This window comes from Homo sapiens, chromosome 5 (genome assembly GCF_000001405.40).
Source record: "Homo sapiens chromosome 5, GRCh38.p14 Primary Assembly".
Lineage (NCBI taxonomy): Eukaryota > Metazoa > Chordata > Mammalia > Primates > Hominidae > Homo > Homo sapiens.
Window position 1 is genome coordinate 83,667,052 of NC_000005.10, and position 21,742 is coordinate 83,688,793.

Sequence of the window (21,742 nt, forward strand, 5' to 3'; positions counted from 1 at the left end):
TATAAATTGTTGAATGCAGAGACTGTATGTTTTGTCATCATATCCCTAATGCCACTACATAAGCACCTAACACATTTGTTGAATAAATAAGTTGTCTATAGGTGTATATGCATGGGTGCAATATATGAGCATTTTTACATATGTATGTATACTCCTACATATATACTTTTGTTCTTTACTTTTGAGCTCATTTATTATATTAATATGGTGATATTCCAAGTTTGATCAAATGGCAAGCCTATGTTTAATGCTGTGTGTTCTTATTTTCATTTTTGGTTTCATGCCCTCTTGTAAATTGATAAGAAATTTAAGATTTAGTCATCTAATATGGATGATGTGCTAATTTTTATAATTCCACGATGGAATTCTCTGATGTTTTATAGCTATTAGTTTTTAGACAGAATTATTAACTATATATATATAAGTATATTTCCACCTGTGATTTATAAAATATTTGTAGATATTTTTCCTGGTATTTGTAGATTTTGCTTTGGTGGCTGCAAATAAGATATTCTGCCTCAAAAAGACGAAAATGAATTGATGTAGCTTTTCCAAACAGACTCAGATAGTTTAAATAAGTTTTAGGTGGGAGAGAGAAAATTAAGACAGAGTAACATGTATCCAGTTCTCCCATTAAACTTTGGCTCTATAGATGGTTTGTGATCATACATTATTAGATTCACCCACTCCTTGTGATACATTCTGTACCACCAAATCCCAAATCTGCAGTTATTACATAAGGAACAGGATAGCATTTCAGTGACCAAATGTAAATCCAATACTCTTCAAAGATGCATACATGCATGAGGAAGATTGCTGCAACTTGTCTTTGGCGGACTCTCATGGAGTATCAGATGCTGCATGTTATGTGGGAGCCATGCACAAGACCAAACAAAATTTGCAACCCAAATTCATAATTCTCTTGTTCATCTGCTGCTTCTCATTCCATGAATTGAAAATATTTCCCTGGGATTTGGAAAGGCTGAACCAAAACTTGATTAGAAAAAACAACTGGATTTTGGTCCTGGATTTATTTAGCAAACATGTATTGATCACCTACTATGTGCCAGTTGTTGGGTTTATGTGACTGGGATGCATCACACAAAGATTCCTGCCTTCATGAAGCTGTTCAATATTCTTGTGGTAGAGACAGATGACAAACAATTACATAAAAATAAGTAGAGTATACAGCCAGTGCTACAGAGAGAAAGAAAAGAAGGGTGAGAGAGATTAGGATACCAGAGGGGGACAGATTGCAATAGTCAGGGTGACTTCATTAAAAAGGTGAGAAATAAGCTCAGATTTGAAGTAAAGGAAGGGGTTAACTAGATAAACGGACTTTTATCAGCCAGGTAGCCTGGGACAAGCAATGCAAAGCTCTGAGTCTTGACTTCTTCATTCGCGAATTGGAAGATTGGTCTAGACAATCGCTACCAAAGTCCTTTTAAGTTCTTAAATTGTGTGAACTATGATTTAGCTGATGCCAACATTACGGAGTGAAAGCAGTCATCTAGCTAATGTTCATTAAGTGCACACAATGTGTCACATGCTGCTAAATGCCAGCGATGTCACAGCATTTAACAAATGCTCATTATGGTAGTGACAATTTAGAAGTATCTCATTACCTTCATCATTCATTTGTTCACTCACTTATTCAACAAACATACATTGAGCACCTACTATGTGCCTGGCACTGCTCTATAGTTGGAGTTAGTTACAAAGCTGAGAGACAATCTGATGAGGGAGGGAGGCATGTTAGCAGGAAGTCCGTGTGAGGACTGAACCAGATTTGAAGAAGGGGAGGCAGGTTCAGGACACGCAGCAGGAGGAGGAATAGTGAAGCTGAGAGAGGAGTGTGCACTTCTGCCAGCGGTTCTGGATAGACTTTATTTTTTTCTACTTACAGACATAAACTTCTGGCAATTCCTTATTAAGTAAATCTACTTGTTTTATTTGTTGACAAAAGTGACAATTACTTTTACTTATTAAATAGAAGGACACAGTTTTCATTTCTGGGAGTTCCTCTTGTTCTGCCTTACAAAAATTTAAAGTAGCGGATCTGTGCTCACATAGTAAATACATTAAGGGAAAATATTACTTATGTTTGGAGAACTTTAGTTTCTACCAGGAAAGTAAAAATGGTCAGATAATATTTAATGTGACTGGGGAGGCTGGGCGTGGTGGCTCACACCTGTAATTCTAACACTTTGGGAGGCTGATGTGGGCTGATCACCTGAGGTCAGGAATTACCAGCCTGGCCAACATTGCAAAACCCCGCTGCTACTAAAAATACAAAGAGTAGCAGGGCACTGTGGCAGGCACCTGTAATCCCAGCTACTTAGGAGGCTGAGGTAGGAGAATCTCTTGAACCTGGGAGGCAGAGGTTGCAGTGAGCCAAGATTGAGCCATTGTACTCCAGCCTGGGCGAGAGAGCAAGACTCCGTCTCAAAAATAAATAAATAAATAAAAATTAAAGTAATAATATGAATGGGGACATTTTAAATTGTGAAATTAAAGAAGGCAAAGAAAAGAACTTATAAAATGTTTACTTTATTAGAATTAAGGTGATGATATGTTCTGTTAACAAATGTACTTTGAAAAGCATGAATTTTTTTGACCAGTATTTGTAGTCTGTTTTCTATTTAAAAATCAATTTTCCATAACAGGGAGGAAGCAATAAACATAATGATAACAACCACCTGGATAAGTATTGGCTCTTGGGAACCAGGCACTGTACTAAGCACTTTCCACATATTATCTCATTTAATTCTCACAAAGCTCTATTGAATAAGCAGGCATTAGGTCTGATTTTACAGAGGGGTAACTGGGATTTGGAGAGATTAAGTAAATTTTCCAAGGTCTAAGCTAGTTAGTGGCATTACAGGAAAGACTGAAACTTGTCATCAGAAGACCTCTGCTTGAACACCAAATGCAGGAAGCACTGACTCTGACCTTGATAAGGTCAAGTAGTTACATGTTCATCTATTTTGCTTTGCATATTGGTTAATAGGCAAATGGTCATAAAATTTCTCTGTTATCTGTAAATGTCTTCTAAAAAGTTGTATTTTGAAGAGTGTATTCATCATCTCTAAAATTCTATGGTAGTTGAAAGGCTACACAAAAGTTTTTGGACCTGATACAAATATTATAAATATTATTCTTTCTGTGTGATTTGATACTCCATGTAAAACTCTTCCTAATGGTCTCAAGTTTCAAAGGATTTAAAAGTAAAGTAAAGTAGCCACATTGTGACATGAGGAACAAAATCCATTAGTTTAGTGTATAGAGAGGATATTAACAGTGGCCCCTCTTCCTGTAGAGGTATTTGAGAACATAACTATTGCCTACATTGAGGACAGTATGTTATATACAAGCTAATATCTTGATTGCATATTTTTAGTAGACTTTGTGGACAAATGAAGTTTGCTTTCCTGTATGATCAAATTATTTCAATGAAAAATTAAAGGAAATGGATTAGTGTGTGTGAAATTTTTATCTAAAGCTAAGTCTTTTTCCATGGGAAGCTGGGAGAGATTTCTTTCTCATTACCAGAGAAATGTTTTTCACTAGAAATACCTTGCATAGGGGTCTACACTTGCTATTTTCTTTCCTGGCCATCTGCCTTTTTACCTTTGTTTTGTGTGTGTGTGTGTGTGTGTGTGTGATGGAGTCTCGCTCTGTTGCCCAGGCTGGAGTGCAGTGGCACCATCTCGGCTCACTGCAACCTCTGCTTCCCGGGTTCAGGCAATTCTCCTGCCTCAGCCTCCTGAGTAGCTGGGATTACAGGCACCTGCCACCACGCCCGGCTAATTTTTGTATTTTTAGTAGAGACGGGGTTTCACCATGTTGGTCAGGCTGGTCTCAAACCCCTGACCTCGTGATCCACCCGCCTCGGCCTCCCAAAGTGCTGGGATTACAGGTATGAGCCACCATGCCTGGCTTTCTTTCTTTCTTTCTTTTTTAATATCCAGATTAAACTTTTTTGTGTGTGTCTATATCTCTATAAAACCTCCCACAACAAAATTATGAGGAGGCTTCAGAAAAACAATTAGCTAACCCATACACATGGAACTCAAAAATGTATCATTAAAATGTTGAGCTTCTGCATCAAGGCAGCCAACAAAAAGTTGAGGCTGATTTGCACAATTTTCCCAATGTTGTTCAGACCTTGGGAACTTGGAGTACAAAAATAGAAATCTAATCAAAAATAGGAGAGAGTAATGATATTTTTACAGCAACGTGAATTTTCAACTATTTTCCATCACTAACAGAAGCTCATACTGCTTATCAGTACCATTCAAGAATCTGAGATTGAGATAGCTAATTTAATCATCTGACTAAATTCTTCAAAAAATTTGTGAGGATTTCAGCTCCCTAAAATTCCTTCTGGGCTATGTTTGATAAATAAAAGTTTTAAATATAAGAAAATATGCAGTATTTCAAGTAAGTAACGAAGCAAGTAAGTAATCTGCTTTGTTGATTCTTGTGCTACCTGATTTATTTTTGCATTATAAAAAACAGCTGGAATTATGGAAGGTCACTTGGAAGCAGTTTCTCTGAAGAACTATGGGATTTGAAAATTCAATCTGAATGCTATCACAAAAAAATTGTTGGGAAAAAAGTAATGAGAACAGGTATTTCATTTACGGGCATAACATCATAATCCTATGACCCAAATCACATTTCAGCATTAAATTTCCACAAGCCAAATATAGTTCTATTACTTGAAAGCTCTTTAGCAACTCTTCGAGGCAAGCCTGCACTTTCTAAGAATATGAATTTACAATTAAAATGAAGTGGACTATCAAGCCTTTTTAAAAATGTGGACAGTGTATGCAAATAATCTGGATAATCCTGATACTCTGGGTCAGAAATCCCCTTGCACTAAGTTTCAACAGAGGAGATGGGAATGGAAAGGCTGGAGTAACAGAAGTTTTCCTTCCTGAGATAACTTGAGTCTGACTTATAGGAGTAATTTTTCAAATGTTAGTACATTTTTAAAACACTATTCTCATACTCTGAGTGCAATTTTCATTAAATGGTTTGTACACAATTCATAATACAACTTTGGTATCTGTCATCTAATAACTTGAAACCATGGCTTAAGTTTCTATTGCATTGGGTATAAAACTGGTATTATTAATAACGACTAGGTATTACTATTTTGGCTGAATTGAATTCTGTCACTAGAATTCTGTCACTAGAAGGTAAAAGGGTATTATTCCTCATTAGAAATCTCTATGTGTAAATATCATATGGTCTTTGGGAAACAGCTCTGATTCTACTATATATTACAGAAACAGCTGAGTCAGCAGCTTGCAGAGTAAAATGTATGATTACAATTTCTTTTCTCAGTTCAACAGAGAAAAAAATAAAGCTGTTGGAAGCAAACAAAACTAAAAGAGATGTGTCTAAAATAGCTAGACATAGACAAATTCAGAATTCTATTTTGGTAGTCATAATACGTACAGGAAAATACTTCTAGACAGATTTACACTATCATTTGACCTTCACAAGTCATACTTTTCACAGTGAATGCAGTTTACTGAGGCTACGCTTTTGACCTTGAAGATGTAACTTAGAGTTTTATGTCTCTTAGCAAACTTATCATGCCTCTGGTACCCCAATGGAGTTTATCTAAAATTATCATCATCTGCTTAAACTGTTAAGTTCTATAATTCCTTTTTTAATTATTCAGCATCCAAGGGCAAGGAAAGAACTGTTCCTCTTATTGCATAAGTCTCAGCTTTCTTAATGCAGGATGTCCCTCATCTGAAGCTGGGACTGAGGAAATAGCTGCATTGTACTGCAGCCTCAAATCCTGCTACAGCTCTCAGGCTTAGGAATCAGCTGAGCTGAACAGAAATGTGCAGGGGCAATGTATTGGTCTATAGGAGCTAAAGCTTAACTGAAGCAGATTATAATAGGGTAAACTACTTTTTCCTGGACAATAGCTTGTCTAATTTTCATTTTATTTATATTGTTTCTCTTAATGATTAAACAGTTACTCTAACAGAATGACCTTATATCCTAAGTTTTACTTCCTATTTTCTCTCTCTGACTTGCATTTAAATGAACTTTATGGCCTCCATTTTACTTGAAGATAGCAACTGCACTTAACAGCCTTGAACGATTATACCAACTCACTGCAGCTGGACATTCTTAAGCTACTCAACTTTAATTGTCCCCAATTCTTAACTCTACTGTAATGCAATAGTGTTTAAAAGCCAGGGAACACGTTCACCAATTAGCAGAAAGGGAAAGAAAAAGTCAATGCAGCAGAACTAAAATTAAGAAACACTAGCCCAGCATCTCAACTCTAAGTAACTTAAAATTAATTAGGCTTTGATAAGAGAAGCTGTGTTTCCTTACCTTGGATGTGAATAGCTCTGTCATGATCCAGAGTATAGTTGTCTGAAAGATGATCAGCCCAGCAGATTGAAATCAGCACCAGAAGAAGTAGACTCTTCATCTTTATAGCCCAAAGAATCTTCTTCACTGCGAGAGCATCACATACAAAGAGGCTTGTGAGATTTGGAACCCTTTGGAGTGTTGCACTGCACAACTTATTACCGCCTTATCATCATAGAATGGGTCTGTAAAAATATTTAACCCAATCTGTTCAGAAAGTTACTGTAGCTGCCTTTAAGAGCCGAAGACGGCAGCTTTGAACAATTCCTGCTACCATCATGTAGCCAGAGTCCAAATAGTGTTTAACTCTATCTTTGCAGAATTGTAAATCTAGAAATTTAAAACACTGTAGTTTGGATAGAGAATTACAGCAAGTAACAAAGAGATGTGGCAAAAACATACACACTCTTAAAAAAATGTAAGCCTCTGAATTTGCAACATAAGTTAATAAAACAGCAATGTGTTATGTCTGTATATGAGTATCACTTGGTCTAATTAGAAAGTGAATCTAAAGCCAGGGCAAATAATATTTGCATGAAACTTGACATCGTCATTCATTTTACATGTGGCTTCCTAAGAAGGTTAGACTTGCTTGTTCCAAATAGAAAAGAGGACCAAAAAAAAGTGCCCGATTAAGCAGAAGCAGCACATTTGTTACAGATTCACTTACCATCTTACATACTGCTTGGGTCTACGGTGAATAGTTGAAAATTATGAACAAACTAGGTTAGAGTTGTGCACGCTACCACTGCAGTCATCCTGATTGATTTTTCATTCATTTCAACCTAAAATGCTGACGCACCAACTTAGAGTGCCAGGTAGGGTCTCTGCAGTCAGCGGATCCACGGCTGCAGGGAACGTCCCTGCCAGCCTCCCAGGGCAATTAGGCAAATGAAAAGCTGAAACAGACAGGGAGGCACAGATCTGGTCCTAAGTGAAAAAGGCAGAGCCATCACTTGCCTGTCCTTTATTGAAAGACCAATGTGATAAAAGGGGACATAACCTCTTCCCTCCCAAAAGTTTGTCATTGGAAGAACCAAAAGTGATTCTAAGTGATACGAACCTTATAACCTTTGCAGTATTTGCCAGGCAAGGATTTCAGTGGAGCTTCTTGGTTTTAATGTGGAAGCTGACACGAAAATTAACAAGGACCTTCTATTTCTCTCATGCACACAGCAGCCTTGACAATACCGGCTATTTTTAAAACTGAAATTGCACAGTACTGGCTTCTCACACTAATTTGTTTTTTCCAAGAAAGCCTGACTCCCTGGGATACTTATTAAAGAGCTCTGAGTCTGTTCCTGGAGGTCCTTGTAGGAGAGCCTCTACTCCAGAACCTAATTCACTTATTCACAGAAGGTCCCCAAGTCTCTTCTGAGACTGAAACATGTCTCTGTATTTTCCCCTGTGAAGATTTGCACTACTGTGATGCTGATGGCTTTAGTCTTTCACGTTTGCTTTAAATCTTTTCTTTTTCTTCATTATATCACATAAAGAAGATGGTAGATAAGCAAACAAATTGTGAAATTTATTTGTCAAGGAAACCAAGAATGTTAGCTTCAAAATTCTACCTGATTTACTAGTCTTATTTTCAGAAGTTCACTTCCTTGTTCCTCTAAGAACTTTTTTGAAATGCTTATTTTTGTTGTTGTTGTTGGTTGTTTGTAGTCACTAACTTTTGTCCACAAAATTACAGTTTAAAATATTACCTATTTTCAGCCCAGGATTGTGCTTTGGGTGAACAAATATAAAGGTGGCCTTTTGGAATTTGGAATATAATTGAGATAACTGTAAACACAAATATGAAACAACAGACAAACAGTACCAGAGTTGTGATGTGCTCTCTGCTTGTTTACAGGAATCAGAGAAGGGGCGCTGTGGAGGAGAGAGTATAAAGAAGGTGTATAATTTAACAATCAAACACAGGAGACATTCTAGATGAGGAGTCAAGATGAGCAAAGGTGGAGAGTTTGCTAAATTAATGTTCACGTTAGTGTGGTCATGTATAGTGTAATTTATAGGGAGCTGTATATGATACACACACTAGGTTAGAGTTGTTTATCCTACCACTGCAACCATCTTGAATTTCATTCGTCTTAAAAATATATGACACATCTATCTATGTATCTCCTTTAGTTCCATACCATAGTATTTAAAATTATACTACTAAGGGTTCATTCCAATGTGTTAAAGTACTGACTATCCAACAACCTAATTTAAAATTGTAAACGTCTTGAGTGCTTGTGAGGGAGTATGGGGAATAAACAATGATAAAAACACCTTTCATGGAATGTCTACTGTTCGCCAGCACTATAAGCAGCATTTTGTCTGCAATGGCTCATGGATTCCTTAGAACAATAATGTGAGACAAATATTTCCATTTCTTGGGATACAGACAGTAATCTTGCTGGAAGGTACACATCTAGTAAGTGGCAAAGTCTGTATTTGCCTTCAAGCAAATTTAATTTGTTATGTCTTTTGTTGCCTTTTTAAATTCAAGCTCTTTAACTTACAACTATGATCTTAAGACTTTGACTTGTGTTATATATGAATATAAACATTTTTCCCAAGACTTACATATTGAGAAGGCAGTCAGGTGGTATTTTTCTTAACATGATTTGCCCTGCCTCATTAATTATATCACTCTGGTACCATGAACAAAGTCTTGGTGGTTCACATGTGTGCACACATACACAGAGATATGCACACATACACAGAGATACGCACACATATACAGAGATACGCACACATACACAGAGATACGCACACATACACAGAGATACGCACACACAGAAAGATAGATACATACCATCTTTGAAAAATTCAAGTATATTGGACATCTGCAGTAACTTGTGATTAGAGGCCTCTATCAGTGAATACTTTAGAGTACCCTGTGCTGGATTCAATACAATCCAGGGAGGTGAGAATGGAAATTATCTTTGTTACTCTGGTAAGCACAACAACCATCTCACCAGTAGACATGAAACTAGAAAAGTATACTTTAGGGTCACAGTCTTCAGGTGTCTGAGCAATAAGCTATATAAAACAAGGTGCTGCACACCAGACTGAGGTCATTGAGGTCAAGGGCTGTGCCACGGGTCTAAGTGCTGGTCCCAGTAGAAAAGGACACCTCAGACATAGTAGGTGGTCATGTGAGTAAATAAATCTGAGTCCTGCTTGTTTGCATTTTGTAATCATGCCTCCTCTTAATGTCTAGGTATGTTAGGTAAAAATTTGCAGTTTTTGATATGAGCTAAAATTTAGACAATCGGGGAGACTTTTCCACAACCAGCTATTATCAACTCCTGAATTAGTGCTCTCAGTTCACCTGCAATTCACACATTGAAGGTCTCTTTTCACAGCCTTACAAATCTTAATGCTCGATCAGCCAGCTTCAAGATGAATCCAAACTGAAATGTCTATGTTCATAGTCAAAGACAGATAATAGGAATGTAATTTTACAGTCCTGCTTTGTTGATAATTGAAGCATGATTTGGAAGCAATATACCTTATCCAATGTGAAAGAGTAATAGTTTGATAGAAATGCAGATATACTAATATCAACAGTCTAATACCAAGATGGTCAACTGCTATTTCTTAAGTGTCTACTACATTATCATTATCATATTAGGTAATGGGGAGATCAAACCAAGTGAAAGGCATGTGTGCTACTTCATGTGCCTTGAGAGCTAACACTACATATTTCCTGAACTGCCATTTCTCAGAACAACTCAATTGAGGTAAGTATGTTGTTAGACACATTTTACAGCTCTAGAAGTGGAGTCTTAGGGTGGTGAGGTACCCAGCATGTACAACAAGGAGCTGGTAGTCTGGGCAGTGTTACCCCAGAGACGCATTCCCAACTACCATTACCATTGTCGTGGGTCCCCTGACGAGTGCTGTCGGCTCTCTCTTAGCCAGTCTTGCACCTCCTTTAATGCTTCATGCAAGCTGGAATTTTCCTTGTCATATTGCATAGTTCTGTGAAAGTTCAAGCTACCAAGTCAGCTAAAAAGCTTTTCTGATGCCATGGACTGGATGTCCAGCCAAGACCTTTTCATTGTGGTGAGCTTTCAGTCTGGACATGGGCAGCCTATTGTTCCCTTAGCCTGGGTCTGATCCTTTGGCAACCTGACAAACTGAGAAAAATCATAGACCAGAAGGAAGAAAAGTGAGCTCTATTCCAGGTCTCACAACCAGTACAACAGGTCTCAATTTCTTCACCTACAAAATAGAAATAATGACAATGTCTCCCTGGTTTGAAAGTATTCTTGAACAAGTATACAAATCACAAACACTAAGGTATTGTTATTAAATTGGGAAGGACTGCCTCAAACTTGATTGATCGTTATGGATAAATGTAAGAAAAATAGTGAATCAAGGACATCTCCATCTCAGAGACAGATAAATCCTCCCATAAAACTGCTATTTGGAATGAGTTCAGGAGTCACTTCCCAGCAGCAGCAGCACTTGGAAACTGTTAGAGAATGGAAATTCTTGGGCCCCTGATACACTGAATCAGAAACTCTGGGGGATGGGGCCCAGCCATCAGTATTTAGCAGTCTCCTTCCCCCTCAGTGATCCTGATGCATGCTCAAATTTGAGACCCACTGGGCTAAGTTTTTAAGATTACTGGGCGTTCTTCTTCTGGGTGTGGGTTTGAGCTTCTGAGACTTCCCAATTCTTGGAAATAACACCATGCTTATGTTCATTTTTCCTCTCTACTTTTCCTCATTTTCCTTTTTATCTATAGTTTGGGTGTGTGTGTGTGTGTGTGTGTGTGTGTGTTTTAATTAAAAATGTTACTTTAAAACACTGGAAATGAATGCATATAACATATTAGTTATTTTCTAAAAATAATAGGCAGATGGGTATTTTCCTTTTATTTTACAAACTCTTTATATTGTTGCTACATTTATAAGAATTAAGGCGAAAAATATATAATCAGAAAGATTCTCATCCACAAATGGTTAACAATTTAAACAATATATTTTGTCATTATAAAAGATGATTTGCCGTGGTTTATTTTCTGTAAGGTTACGATAGTTGTCATTTTACTGACGGTCTAGGAAATATCTAACACTGGCTGTGGACTTTGGATGATTTCAGCAGGACTGGCAGTGCAGGTCCCTCAAAGCATCACTCTGGGTCCACTGCTCTTCTCTGAAGCCAATACGACTGCCCTTATGGGCTCAATTATCGATGGGTGGAAAGTGGGTAGAAATGCATTAGAAAACAGGAAGAAGATATGAGGGGATTGTAAGAGAGGTGAAATAAAGAGGAAGAAAAGGCCACTCAAAAATAAGAGGAAGGGCAGTAAAAAAGTAGCAAATGAATAATAAATGGTGAATATTTGGCATACTGCTTCTAAGTTTAAAGAAATAAAATGTCACCACAAAATGGATACTGAACTATAGTTCTCAGATCCAAGAATTTCTTAACATGGCTTCTCTAAGAACAATATTTGTTATGGAGTTTAATATCAAGTTTTTCTTGCAAAGATTTGGCAGGGTGTGGAGAAAAAGATCCAGTGGCAGAAACAGAAATGAGCAAGTCAGCCATAGACTTCCCAGTTTTTTATGGGAGCAATATATACCAACATATTTGAGTGATATAAGGACATATATTTCAGTTTAATATTTATTAGGCTTGCCAATGCCTGCAGTTACTGCTAAAGGAATCTCTAAGAATACCTTAGCCACTTACATACAAACTGCTTAGATTTAGAGCAAATCATTTAAAATGACTGCTTTTTGGAGTATCACTTAGCTGTAGATGTTTCTACAATTTACTTGTGGCTTCTTTTCTAATTAAAGATCTCAGAAATCTCAATCATGAATTTGTACCATGCGTATAAAACATGGGAGGCTGAACTTAGGATCCTCATGTCTCAGAACCTGCATTCTTAAATTTACGAAAAATTTATATTCCTTTTTCTCCTCGATGTTTTGAAATCAGTCTATTTCTATCCTGTTTTTCCCCTAACTTTTCTATTCTCTTTCTAACCTTTCTCTGTTTTACTTTCTTGCTTTTGTTTATCCATTCATCACCTCCAAATCTTTCTGACCCGCTCTTACATAATTTATTCTTTTCTCTTTTCCCTATATTTCATATTTATTACATTATATGATATTTGACGTGGTCATAGGATTACTTATCATCGAACCAGGCACAGAGTAAGCAGGATAACTACTTACAACTATACTAGGAAAACAGTAACATGTAAATTGGAGCTATCCTGGATAGATGGGGAAATATGGCAATGGGTACAATGGAGGAAAGGTAGAATTTAGTTTCATTTCTTTATCTACCACTTTTTAGCTGTGTGACCCATGAAGAAGTGATTCAACTGCTTTAGGGTCAAGTATTTTTTATCTGTCAATTAAAAGAGTTGACGTCAAATGTCCAAGCTCCATGTTAGTTGTTATTATTATGATTTAATGTTTTCTTACTGGAGATATCAGATCGTCTCTTCTACTTATGTTGCATTTTAGGACTGTCCTCATCAGCAGATAAATTCATGGATTTTTAAAGGGATAATATCAATAATGCTTGTTTAAGTAGCAATTCAATTTACTTACTGTTTTTGGCTGTTGCTCTTTGCTAGCTCTCTCTCTCAGACAATATTGACAGGGTTTGAGACAAACTCAGCAACCTTTCACCTAATCGAAGTGCATTTGCTCAGGCTGCTCACTGGCCCCTTAGAACCTGCTTTAGGTAATGCTTGAGATGGGGGTTAGACTTCTCCAAAACCAGCTTTTTAAGTGGATTCTGCAATAGTTTTGTTTATTTGTTGATTTTCTAAAACACATATAAAAGGCCTATCTGAGCAAAAGCACATGTCATATTTTGTGTTTATAATGTTCATGTCCACAGCCTTTAATCAAATATTTAGGGTATATGGGGAAAGCAGTACATATATATACTAATAAATGCAGGGACCACATATTTCTTGCCTCTGAGTAACTAAAAGTCTGGAATACCTATAGATAGTATTTAGCATGTTTCTGTAGGTATTCTCACTATCTACTAAAAAATTTTTCAGTTACATGAGATTTCATATAGGTTTTTATGGGCATGTGTTCCATAATTAATAGTCTGTTTCCGGACCAGATAGTTGAGGAAGTCAATAAATAAATATTAAGCAATAAATTTTGATGATGATGGTGACATTAAAAGGAAATAAACGTCTTATCTTCCCCTGTGTTTATCTTTGGAAAACTGATCCTATTTTTTATGCCCTAAAATCATAATTTTACCCTAGAACACTAAAAACTAGACAACCAATATGAATATTATGTTGTGATGCTATTAAAAATGCAGCCTTCATAGGCTGAAGAAGAAAACATCTATATTCTATCATTATACACAAAGATCATCAAAAATAAAATCACCTCATGAACAATTATTAAAAGATAATTAAATCTGTCAGAATATAAATAAGCAGTACTGCCACTTCTCAGGCTAACTCATAATTTCTTTGTGGTTTAATATGCTAAATGCTGCCATGATATATTGGCTTTATAAGAAATACTCTTTAATGGGTATGCTTGTTAGACATACTCATATAGGAAAGACATTTTATAAATTCACTCATTCTTGATTCTGTGATCAAAAATCTGAGTAACATCAATAACAAAGCATTGTATTAAATAATATAAAATTAGACCTTTAAAATATTTTCTTAATGTATAAAATCGAATGACTCATTATTATGATCAGTAATAGTAAATGAATTTTGAATCTTGACAAGGAATTTGGCACTAAATTAAGAACTCTACAAATGTATACATGACTTATTCCCTAGTGAATTGGAATTTAAATAGAAGGAACCTAAACGGAGGCATTTTAAAGCCATCAGAAGGCCCCTTGTAACCAATTATGTATAATTTTGTCTGAAACATTCTAAAGGAATGTTCTGGGAATTATCAACAGCTTAGATTGCTATCTCATTGTTTCTTATCAAGCACAAATAAAAAATGGACACAAACAAATAAAACAACTCTCATTTAAAATTACTTTTTTACATCATTTTATTTTAATTAATTAATTAATGAATTTTTTTTTTGAGACAAGGTCTGTCTGTCACAAAGGCTGGAGTGCAGTGGTGAGATCACGTCTCACTGCACCCTCAACCTCCTGGGCTCAAGTGATTCTTCCACCTCGGCTCGCCAAGTAGCTGGGACCACAGCCACCTGCCACCAAACCAGGATAATTTTTTGACTTTTTGTAGAGAGGAGGTCTCCCTATTTGCCCACGCTATACATCATTTGAAATATATAGAATAACTCTCCTCTTCATATTATAATGTACAAACAAAATTAAGAATTTTTAGGAAATTCAGAATTGGTCAGGCGTGGTGGAGGAAATTTAGAATTTAGAATTTTTAGGACTGCTTTTAAATGTAGGTTATATAAAAATGAGTTTAGACTCTTGTGCTCATATGCACACAACTAAATGAATACAAACCTCCTAGTTACAGGTTTTATAATTTGAAACAAGAGTTTTTAAAATAAGATTTCTAGCACTAGGGTTTATATGGGTAGGAAATCGATCATTACGTCAGTTTCAACTAAATGCATTTGAAATTGTTTTTAATTGAGCCAGCAAAACAATATTTTAAGATTCCATTTCATTAAAATTTTAAATCTCTTTAAAAGTTCAAAATTTCAACAGCTGTCAGTTAAACATTTCATTAACGTTGGATCTAAAAATACAACCGCAAAACATCTACATGACAGCTTTGGTGCCATCACAAATATGTAAAAAGTTTTCTACATATTGCAAAAACACTAAGCTCACCACTGCATCCCATGTGTCATTCTAAAGTAGTTAATGAACAACAAGAATCAGGCAACTCACACATATTTTAAAAAGTCACCAGACTCTGAGAAGGCATAGGAAGATTTTTAAATATGTGTCAATTCTGATTTTGTACTACATACAATGAAAAGTTTTATGATCATCGATTTACTGTGGTACCTAGTTATACTAAGTCATAATAAAAATAAAAATAATATATTAATGGTTTTTAGCAGCAGAAACTTCTGTTCTCTCCAATGCACTTCATGCAGTCAATCCTCATCTCCGTTGGCTGAGTCTTTTCAGGTATCTTCCAAGATCCTTACGAAAGTTTACTATTTGTCCCCATCCTACGTCAAAACATGACCTCATCAGAATTCAGTTCATTGGTATATAAGTAACAAAGTGTGTTCCAGCCAAAAGGGCTGTGTCTACACAGCTCAAAAAAGGGAAAATACAATATCTTCCAATTAATTTAGCAAATATTGACCTCTAAGCTCATTAAATTGAGTTTCCAAATTGGTTTTGTGATGCAGGATATAGCCCAATAATTCATCCTAATAGGTTTTTAAATTATAATGATCTTTGAAGGTGTTTTTTAAGCTTTTAAAACTAAATAATTCTCATTTACAACTTCTTTGGCTCAGGAATTTGTTCATCCTGAAAACACATAAAATCATTTAATCAACTTTCTTTATAGGCATGGAATCTTAGCTAGAAACTACTGCTGTAGACTTCAAAAATATCTACATAATTTGTAGCTTTCTTTTATGAAGAACAAAAGATTTTAAAACTTTTATATAAGTATCAAAGCTTTCCATTGACTCAGAATGAAATAAATATACATGAGTAAAATACATAACAATATGGGCACTATTGTCCTAAGAATGAGGGAAGCTGGGTATAAAAAGTCTCAGGTTTTACATTGTTCTAAATACTACAAAATTACCAGCTCCACGTCTCTCTCACAGATCCTCCCTTTCAACCTGGTCTCCAAATTCCCATCATTACAGTTACCAGTATAAAGTTCCCCAAGGTTGTTTCCATTTCAAATGTGATCATGTTTTTGTGAAGTATTATGGTAGTGAGGGCAGTGTAGAGGTGGCAGAGTTCCTGGGTGAGTACTAACAAAGTTAAGAGGAAACGAGCAGCTACGAAAAACTAAGCTTCTCTCTTCCATAATTTTCACAGAAAGCAATGGTAGTGCCATGAGCAATTACATAAAAGACTGGAATTCTCATCAGTGTTGGGCAAATGACAGTTGAGGATAATGTGCCTACAGCTGAGGATAATGTGACCTTTGAATAATCTCTTATACCTCGTTAACTTTAGCAGGTACACAGATACATTTAGATCTGGATGATGAAGTGTAATCCTAAAAATACAGAACCTGGAAAGCAAGGGAAGTGGTGACATTGTGCACTTCTTCAAAAAGGAACTGCTATCTAAAAATTGTAGAAAAACCTCACATACACAGCTGCCAGTCATCACTCTCAGAGGTTAGTAATAACTGCACACCTCAAAGTAAGTCTTAGTGAGCACAGTACTGCAAATACTGAGAGAATACTGACCATATAAATGTCATGGGAAATAGAATGTAGATCTGAGATGGACTTCTAACAGTGTACATTCTCAGTAGGCAATTGTTTAAAAAACAGGGCCCCTACTGCTGAGAAGCAAACAGAAAAGAACAAGAGCAAAACAAAGAGGGAGAAGCAGACTGCGGGGAGGAGGAGGGGGCAGAAGGAGGAGGAAGATAGCAACTGAAAAGAGGCCAAGGAGTAGTGTTCTTTAGTGGTAATGAACATCTGCGAAGAGACCAGCAGCATGGCCCCTGAGAATGGGAGCAATGACTTGAAGGATAAGCATTACAATAGGGAAAAACAACACCAGATAGGCTAAGTGAACAATCTGAGCATATCCAAAGAGAGAAATTCCAGCCTTACATATCTCAGGGGCACCTAAATTATGTACTGTGCCAAATGAAGCTGTCATTCAAACAATTATCCATTGAGAATCCACCTTACACCAGGCAAGTAGAAATAAGGCTCAGCTTCAGATCCCAAAGCAGGTACCCTCAAGATAGGCTGGGAAGCAATATAAAAGAACAGGGTGGCAAGTGCATATAGGCATACTCAGGATACTATTGGAAAAAGAAGAGGGGCACTCCAGCATGCAGTCGGAATGGTGCCCACTAAAACTGTGCAGAGTGGCAGGCTTGGCAGGCACCTAACCCAGCCTGGCTGGCAGGATATAGAAACGGTTTCAGAAAGGTGATCGTTCAGCTGGGCTGAAAGACAAACAGGAGATAGAGAAGAGGGGAAAGGATATTGCTGCTTAATCATATGAACTGTGAGGGAGCTTGGCCTGCTTGTGTGACTACATGGAGCTCGTGTAGTTGGAGAGTGGGGTGATCATAGTAGAGTGGCTGGAGGTGAGATTGGACAGGGAGTCAGGGGCAAGACAAAAAGGCCTTGAACATAAAATTAATGAGAACTTTTCCTAGTGCAATCAGGCATTCCAACCAGTGCCACATCACTGCAGGTTACTTACTTTATCTTTACATACCTCATAAGAAGATATAACTGTGTACAAAGTACACAGTACAAAGAGGGATCTTCTCAATCTGACATGCATACTCTGTTTACTAGGGAAGATGCATGTAGAACACACTTTTAAAGACTTCCAATTTTTTATAGAGATAAAATATAAAGATTTCAAAATACAATGGGTTAGCCTTTAGCTATTGGATTCTCACTCATTCTTTAGTAAGGGCAGATTAACATAGCTATTGTTATAAATTCAGTGATCAGTGTAATCATTTCTACATTTAATATTAATACATTTTCATAATTGGTTATATCAAAAGATTGTCAAGCCACATACTTTAAAATGGTACTGGAAAAATGGCATGGGATTTGATAGCAGAATCCAGCTCATTGTCTGCATGTGTAACTACTAGAATGCAAGCTCCAGGAGGGTAGAAACTATGTTTACTACTATGTCCTCTGACACACTGTAGAAGCTCAGGGATGCTATGTATGCCTCTGTGGCTTTGCACTGCACACTGCAGGATAAATGGAAGCCTCCAGAATTGCACAGTATACAACCTGCACAACCGTATGCTGCAGACTTCTAGATATTGTTCAGTACACAACCTGTAAAACTATATGCTGCAAACTTCTAGATATTAGACATCACACACACACACACAACTCATTGAATAAATCATCACATTTCATACAACTGTAAAAAAATCATTTGATTCTCAAACTATTAATGAAGCATCTAAAACATTTTGACCCCGTGCTAATGTTACAAAAGTGTAAACTTCCTGAGGACAAGGACCATATTTTATTAGTCTTTATACTCCTGGATTTATTGGTCCTTCTAATCTTGAGTTTTCGTGAGTGTTCAATGAATGAATAAGGAGATTGGCGTTTCTGTAGTTCTAAACATAGCTGTATATGAGAGTGAACTAGAGGTAACTGGAGTTGTCTGAAGTAGTTACTAAGGGAACTCAGTTACTCCATTATTGGAGTTGATTGGTGTGACCTTTTCTCTCTTGTCGGTGCCTCAATCTGAACTTGTCAAGGGCAAATCTTCCAAATATGTGCTGCTTATTTGAAGAGAATAACGTACTCTGATAGAAAAGGACCATTTTTGGCCAAGAGCATATGACTATCTATACTTTCTTGCAAGTATTTCCACACAAGTTCTCGAAGTCCATTTGTAGGAGAACATAAAGCATATGTGCTTTTGATTTTCACCGTCATTTCCTGCTAAATTTCTCTACCCTGGCACACTGGAGATTATTTGAAATTGTACTATCACCAATGACGGAGCCAAAACAACAATTAGAGATATAAAATGTAGCCAAAAAAAAAAAAAAAAAAAAAAGAAATGTCAAGACTTGAGGTCAAATTACCGATCTCATTTCTTCCTACTTGCTAATTTAAAATTTGCCTAAGAATTGTGCCCGTTGATCCACTCCTGGCATAATTAACCTACCTGTCTTAAAAGGAGAAAATTATGACAGGTAAAACAACGAAACAGCTGTTGCTAGAGGTGAAAAGGTAGAAGAGGGAACAAGACCAGCCTGTCAAATAGAATCAGTTCTAGTGAGGCTTTCTGAATTCTGCTTGTCCTTTCTTGCCAGGCTTATGGAAACTTCCTTTGGTTTGGCTGAGAGACAAAGTTAGTGAAATCCACATATGTTCATTCTTATCTTAGTTGGCAATAGTGATAGCAACAATAAAGTAAGAAGGATCAATGTCGCTAAACTTCAGATAGTATGTTTTAGTGATGAATTAATTCAGAGACAGCCATGCCACCTTTTCATTCTGCTAATGCTGACTAAAATTGTAATACATCAAATTCAACACAAACACACACACATATCTCATCCCCTTCACTGTATAGCCCCCAGCACCTGCCGCCCACCTGCCGTTTTGGAGGCAGCAAGTGAATTTAGAAAAGTTCTCTAAATCTGCACTGCTGGGCCAATGGGTGGGAGTAGACAGTACAGCAGGTGGGGTGCAAAGTGACAGAAAACAAAAGAAGGTCACTTAAATTTCAGGGAGTTCAAGAGCAGGATAAGGTTTATTTCCTCTACATCTGGAAGGGTGTGTTGTTTCTCCATTCCTGAATTTCAAGGAAAGAATTTTTATTCTGTAAAAATGCCATTGCTAAAAATAAACAACAATAACAGAAGTTAATAGGTGGAACTGGCTGTTTGGAAGTGAAGGTGACAGGTATTTTGGAATATAAAACAAAAGGAAATGCACTCAAAAATTACGAAATATGTAAAACAAAACTGATATAAGGAAGAGCAAGTGGTATTTATAAAGCAAACCTCTCCTCAAAATCCACAGGAAATCAGGAAAAGAAAATGATTCATTTAATTTCAGTGCTGGTGTAGTCAAAATCAATTTTTAAAAACTGCAAAAAATGGCAAATTTTCTCTCAGTATATAGTGAATGGCCTAAGGAAACATCTGCCGTTCCTCTCATGGAGGAGAATACAGTAGTCTTCAGTTACGAACCTCTTGACCACAATTTGCATTTTCTAGTGATAGTTTAGGAAGGTCTTTTCAAAATAAGCCTCTCAGCAAGAGCATAAATTTCTGTTCAGGCATATGCATAAACAATATAAATAGCTACTTGCTGGCATCATGTTCAAAACATTCATTCAACAATGTTTTAGGAGCAAGTACATAAAATGGAATCTGTGTCCCTGAATATCTCTCACCATTATAGCATCTAAACAAGGAATGACCTCTTTAAATCTGAATCTCAGCATTTGGTGTCACACTAATGTGATGAGATACTCAACTTTGCTAATTAAAATGCAACTGACTTGACGAGAGTAATGTCCACATTGTATTATTAATCCTTGTATCTCCAGCACATATGCTGAAAAAATTTCTTCATAACTGTTTTGCAAGTTATATCTGTTAATTGTAACATTTTAACATATCCTATTCCTTCATTTACATATTGGGGGGAAAATGAGAGTATCAGAAGGATGGAATATCCCATTGTTTTTGCTCTTTGGTGTTAGCATATTTAAATTCTGGAAATGCATTTATATAGAACATTCTGAGTTATTGTTCTTGTACTGAAACATCAAAAGGCTGTTTTGACTCTCTTGGTTTTCTTAAGATATAAGCATTGGATAGACAAGAATTTCTATGACACAAAATAGGCCATGTGGGATGAGGTAAATTTGCTTTCATATCTGCCCATTCCTTCCTTTGTCTCAACCTTTTTGTCTTTTCTCTTTTTAGAACACTCTGGTATCCAGGACATTCTAGCTATGCATGCATCTACACTTTCAGGATTTCTGGTCAGACCCAAGTGTTAGCTCCTTCCTGATCCTCTCCCATTGAAACCATCATTTTCTTTGCCTTTAGTCTTCTGATACTCTCTTGCTTCTCCACTAATGCCTTTGACTTAAAGGTTTATTTTCTATAGTGTACATTTTAGGCATGGGAGAACTATTTTGTCCAAGGAGTCATCCCAGTGATCACTGACACACCATCCACTTTGGCTGCCTCTCATGAGGCACCAGGCTCCACATATCCCGATGTAGCAGCAGAGCTCCTGCCATTCTCTATTTAGTTCTCTTCACATGTTAAACTTTTCAATACCCACAATAGATCTGGCATGAGCTGACTGGCACAGTCCCCACTTTAAGAAGTCCTCATTCTCAGTCGTAAAATGAAGTTGCTTCAAAACACTAGCGTAATTGCCAAATCAAATTCTTTCCAATAATTAAATGCACATGAAAAGCAAATGGATGTTGACCTCTTTTGTGGGCATTCACGATTTTGGAAAATTTCCTGTGCTAGTATTTGCCAAATGCAGCTTTTGATTCTTTTTTTTTTTTTTTTTTTTTTTTTTTTTCACTTTGGAGAATGAGTATTTGAGGAAAGCTTATTTAAATGGAAGACATTAATACAGACTGAAGAGAGAAGAGACAATAACTCTAGAAAATGATGCATTCAGGGAAACGGTGGACAGAAAAC

At 36.6% G+C, this 21,742-nt stretch overlaps 1 protein-coding gene and 1 pseudogene across 7 annotated transcripts in view; one reads left to right on the plus strand and one right to left on the minus strand.

Moving 5' to 3' along the window:
• The window catches only part of HAPLN1 (hyaluronan and proteoglycan link protein 1), an 83,051-nt gene that overhangs the window by 29,247 nt on the left and 32,062 nt on the right, over positions 1–21,742 (minus strand). For 3 of the 7 annotated variants that reach the window (XM_017009053.2, NM_001884.4, XM_017009052.2), the window contains exon 2: positions 6,373–6,498. In XM_017009053.2, the coding sequence (XP_016864542.1) occupies positions 6,373–6,472 (100 nt within the window). In that variant the 5' untranslated portion in view covers positions 6,473–6,498. Of the gene's footprint in view, positions 1–6,372; positions 6,542–7,081; positions 7,304–8,236; positions 8,287–21,742 lie in introns of those variants that run through there. The other 4 variants (XM_017009051.2, XM_017009054.3, XM_011543168.3 and 1 more) reach the window with 4 other exon arrangements.
• RN7SKP295 (RN7SK pseudogene 295) lies at positions 18,815–18,967 on the plus strand (annotated as a pseudogene).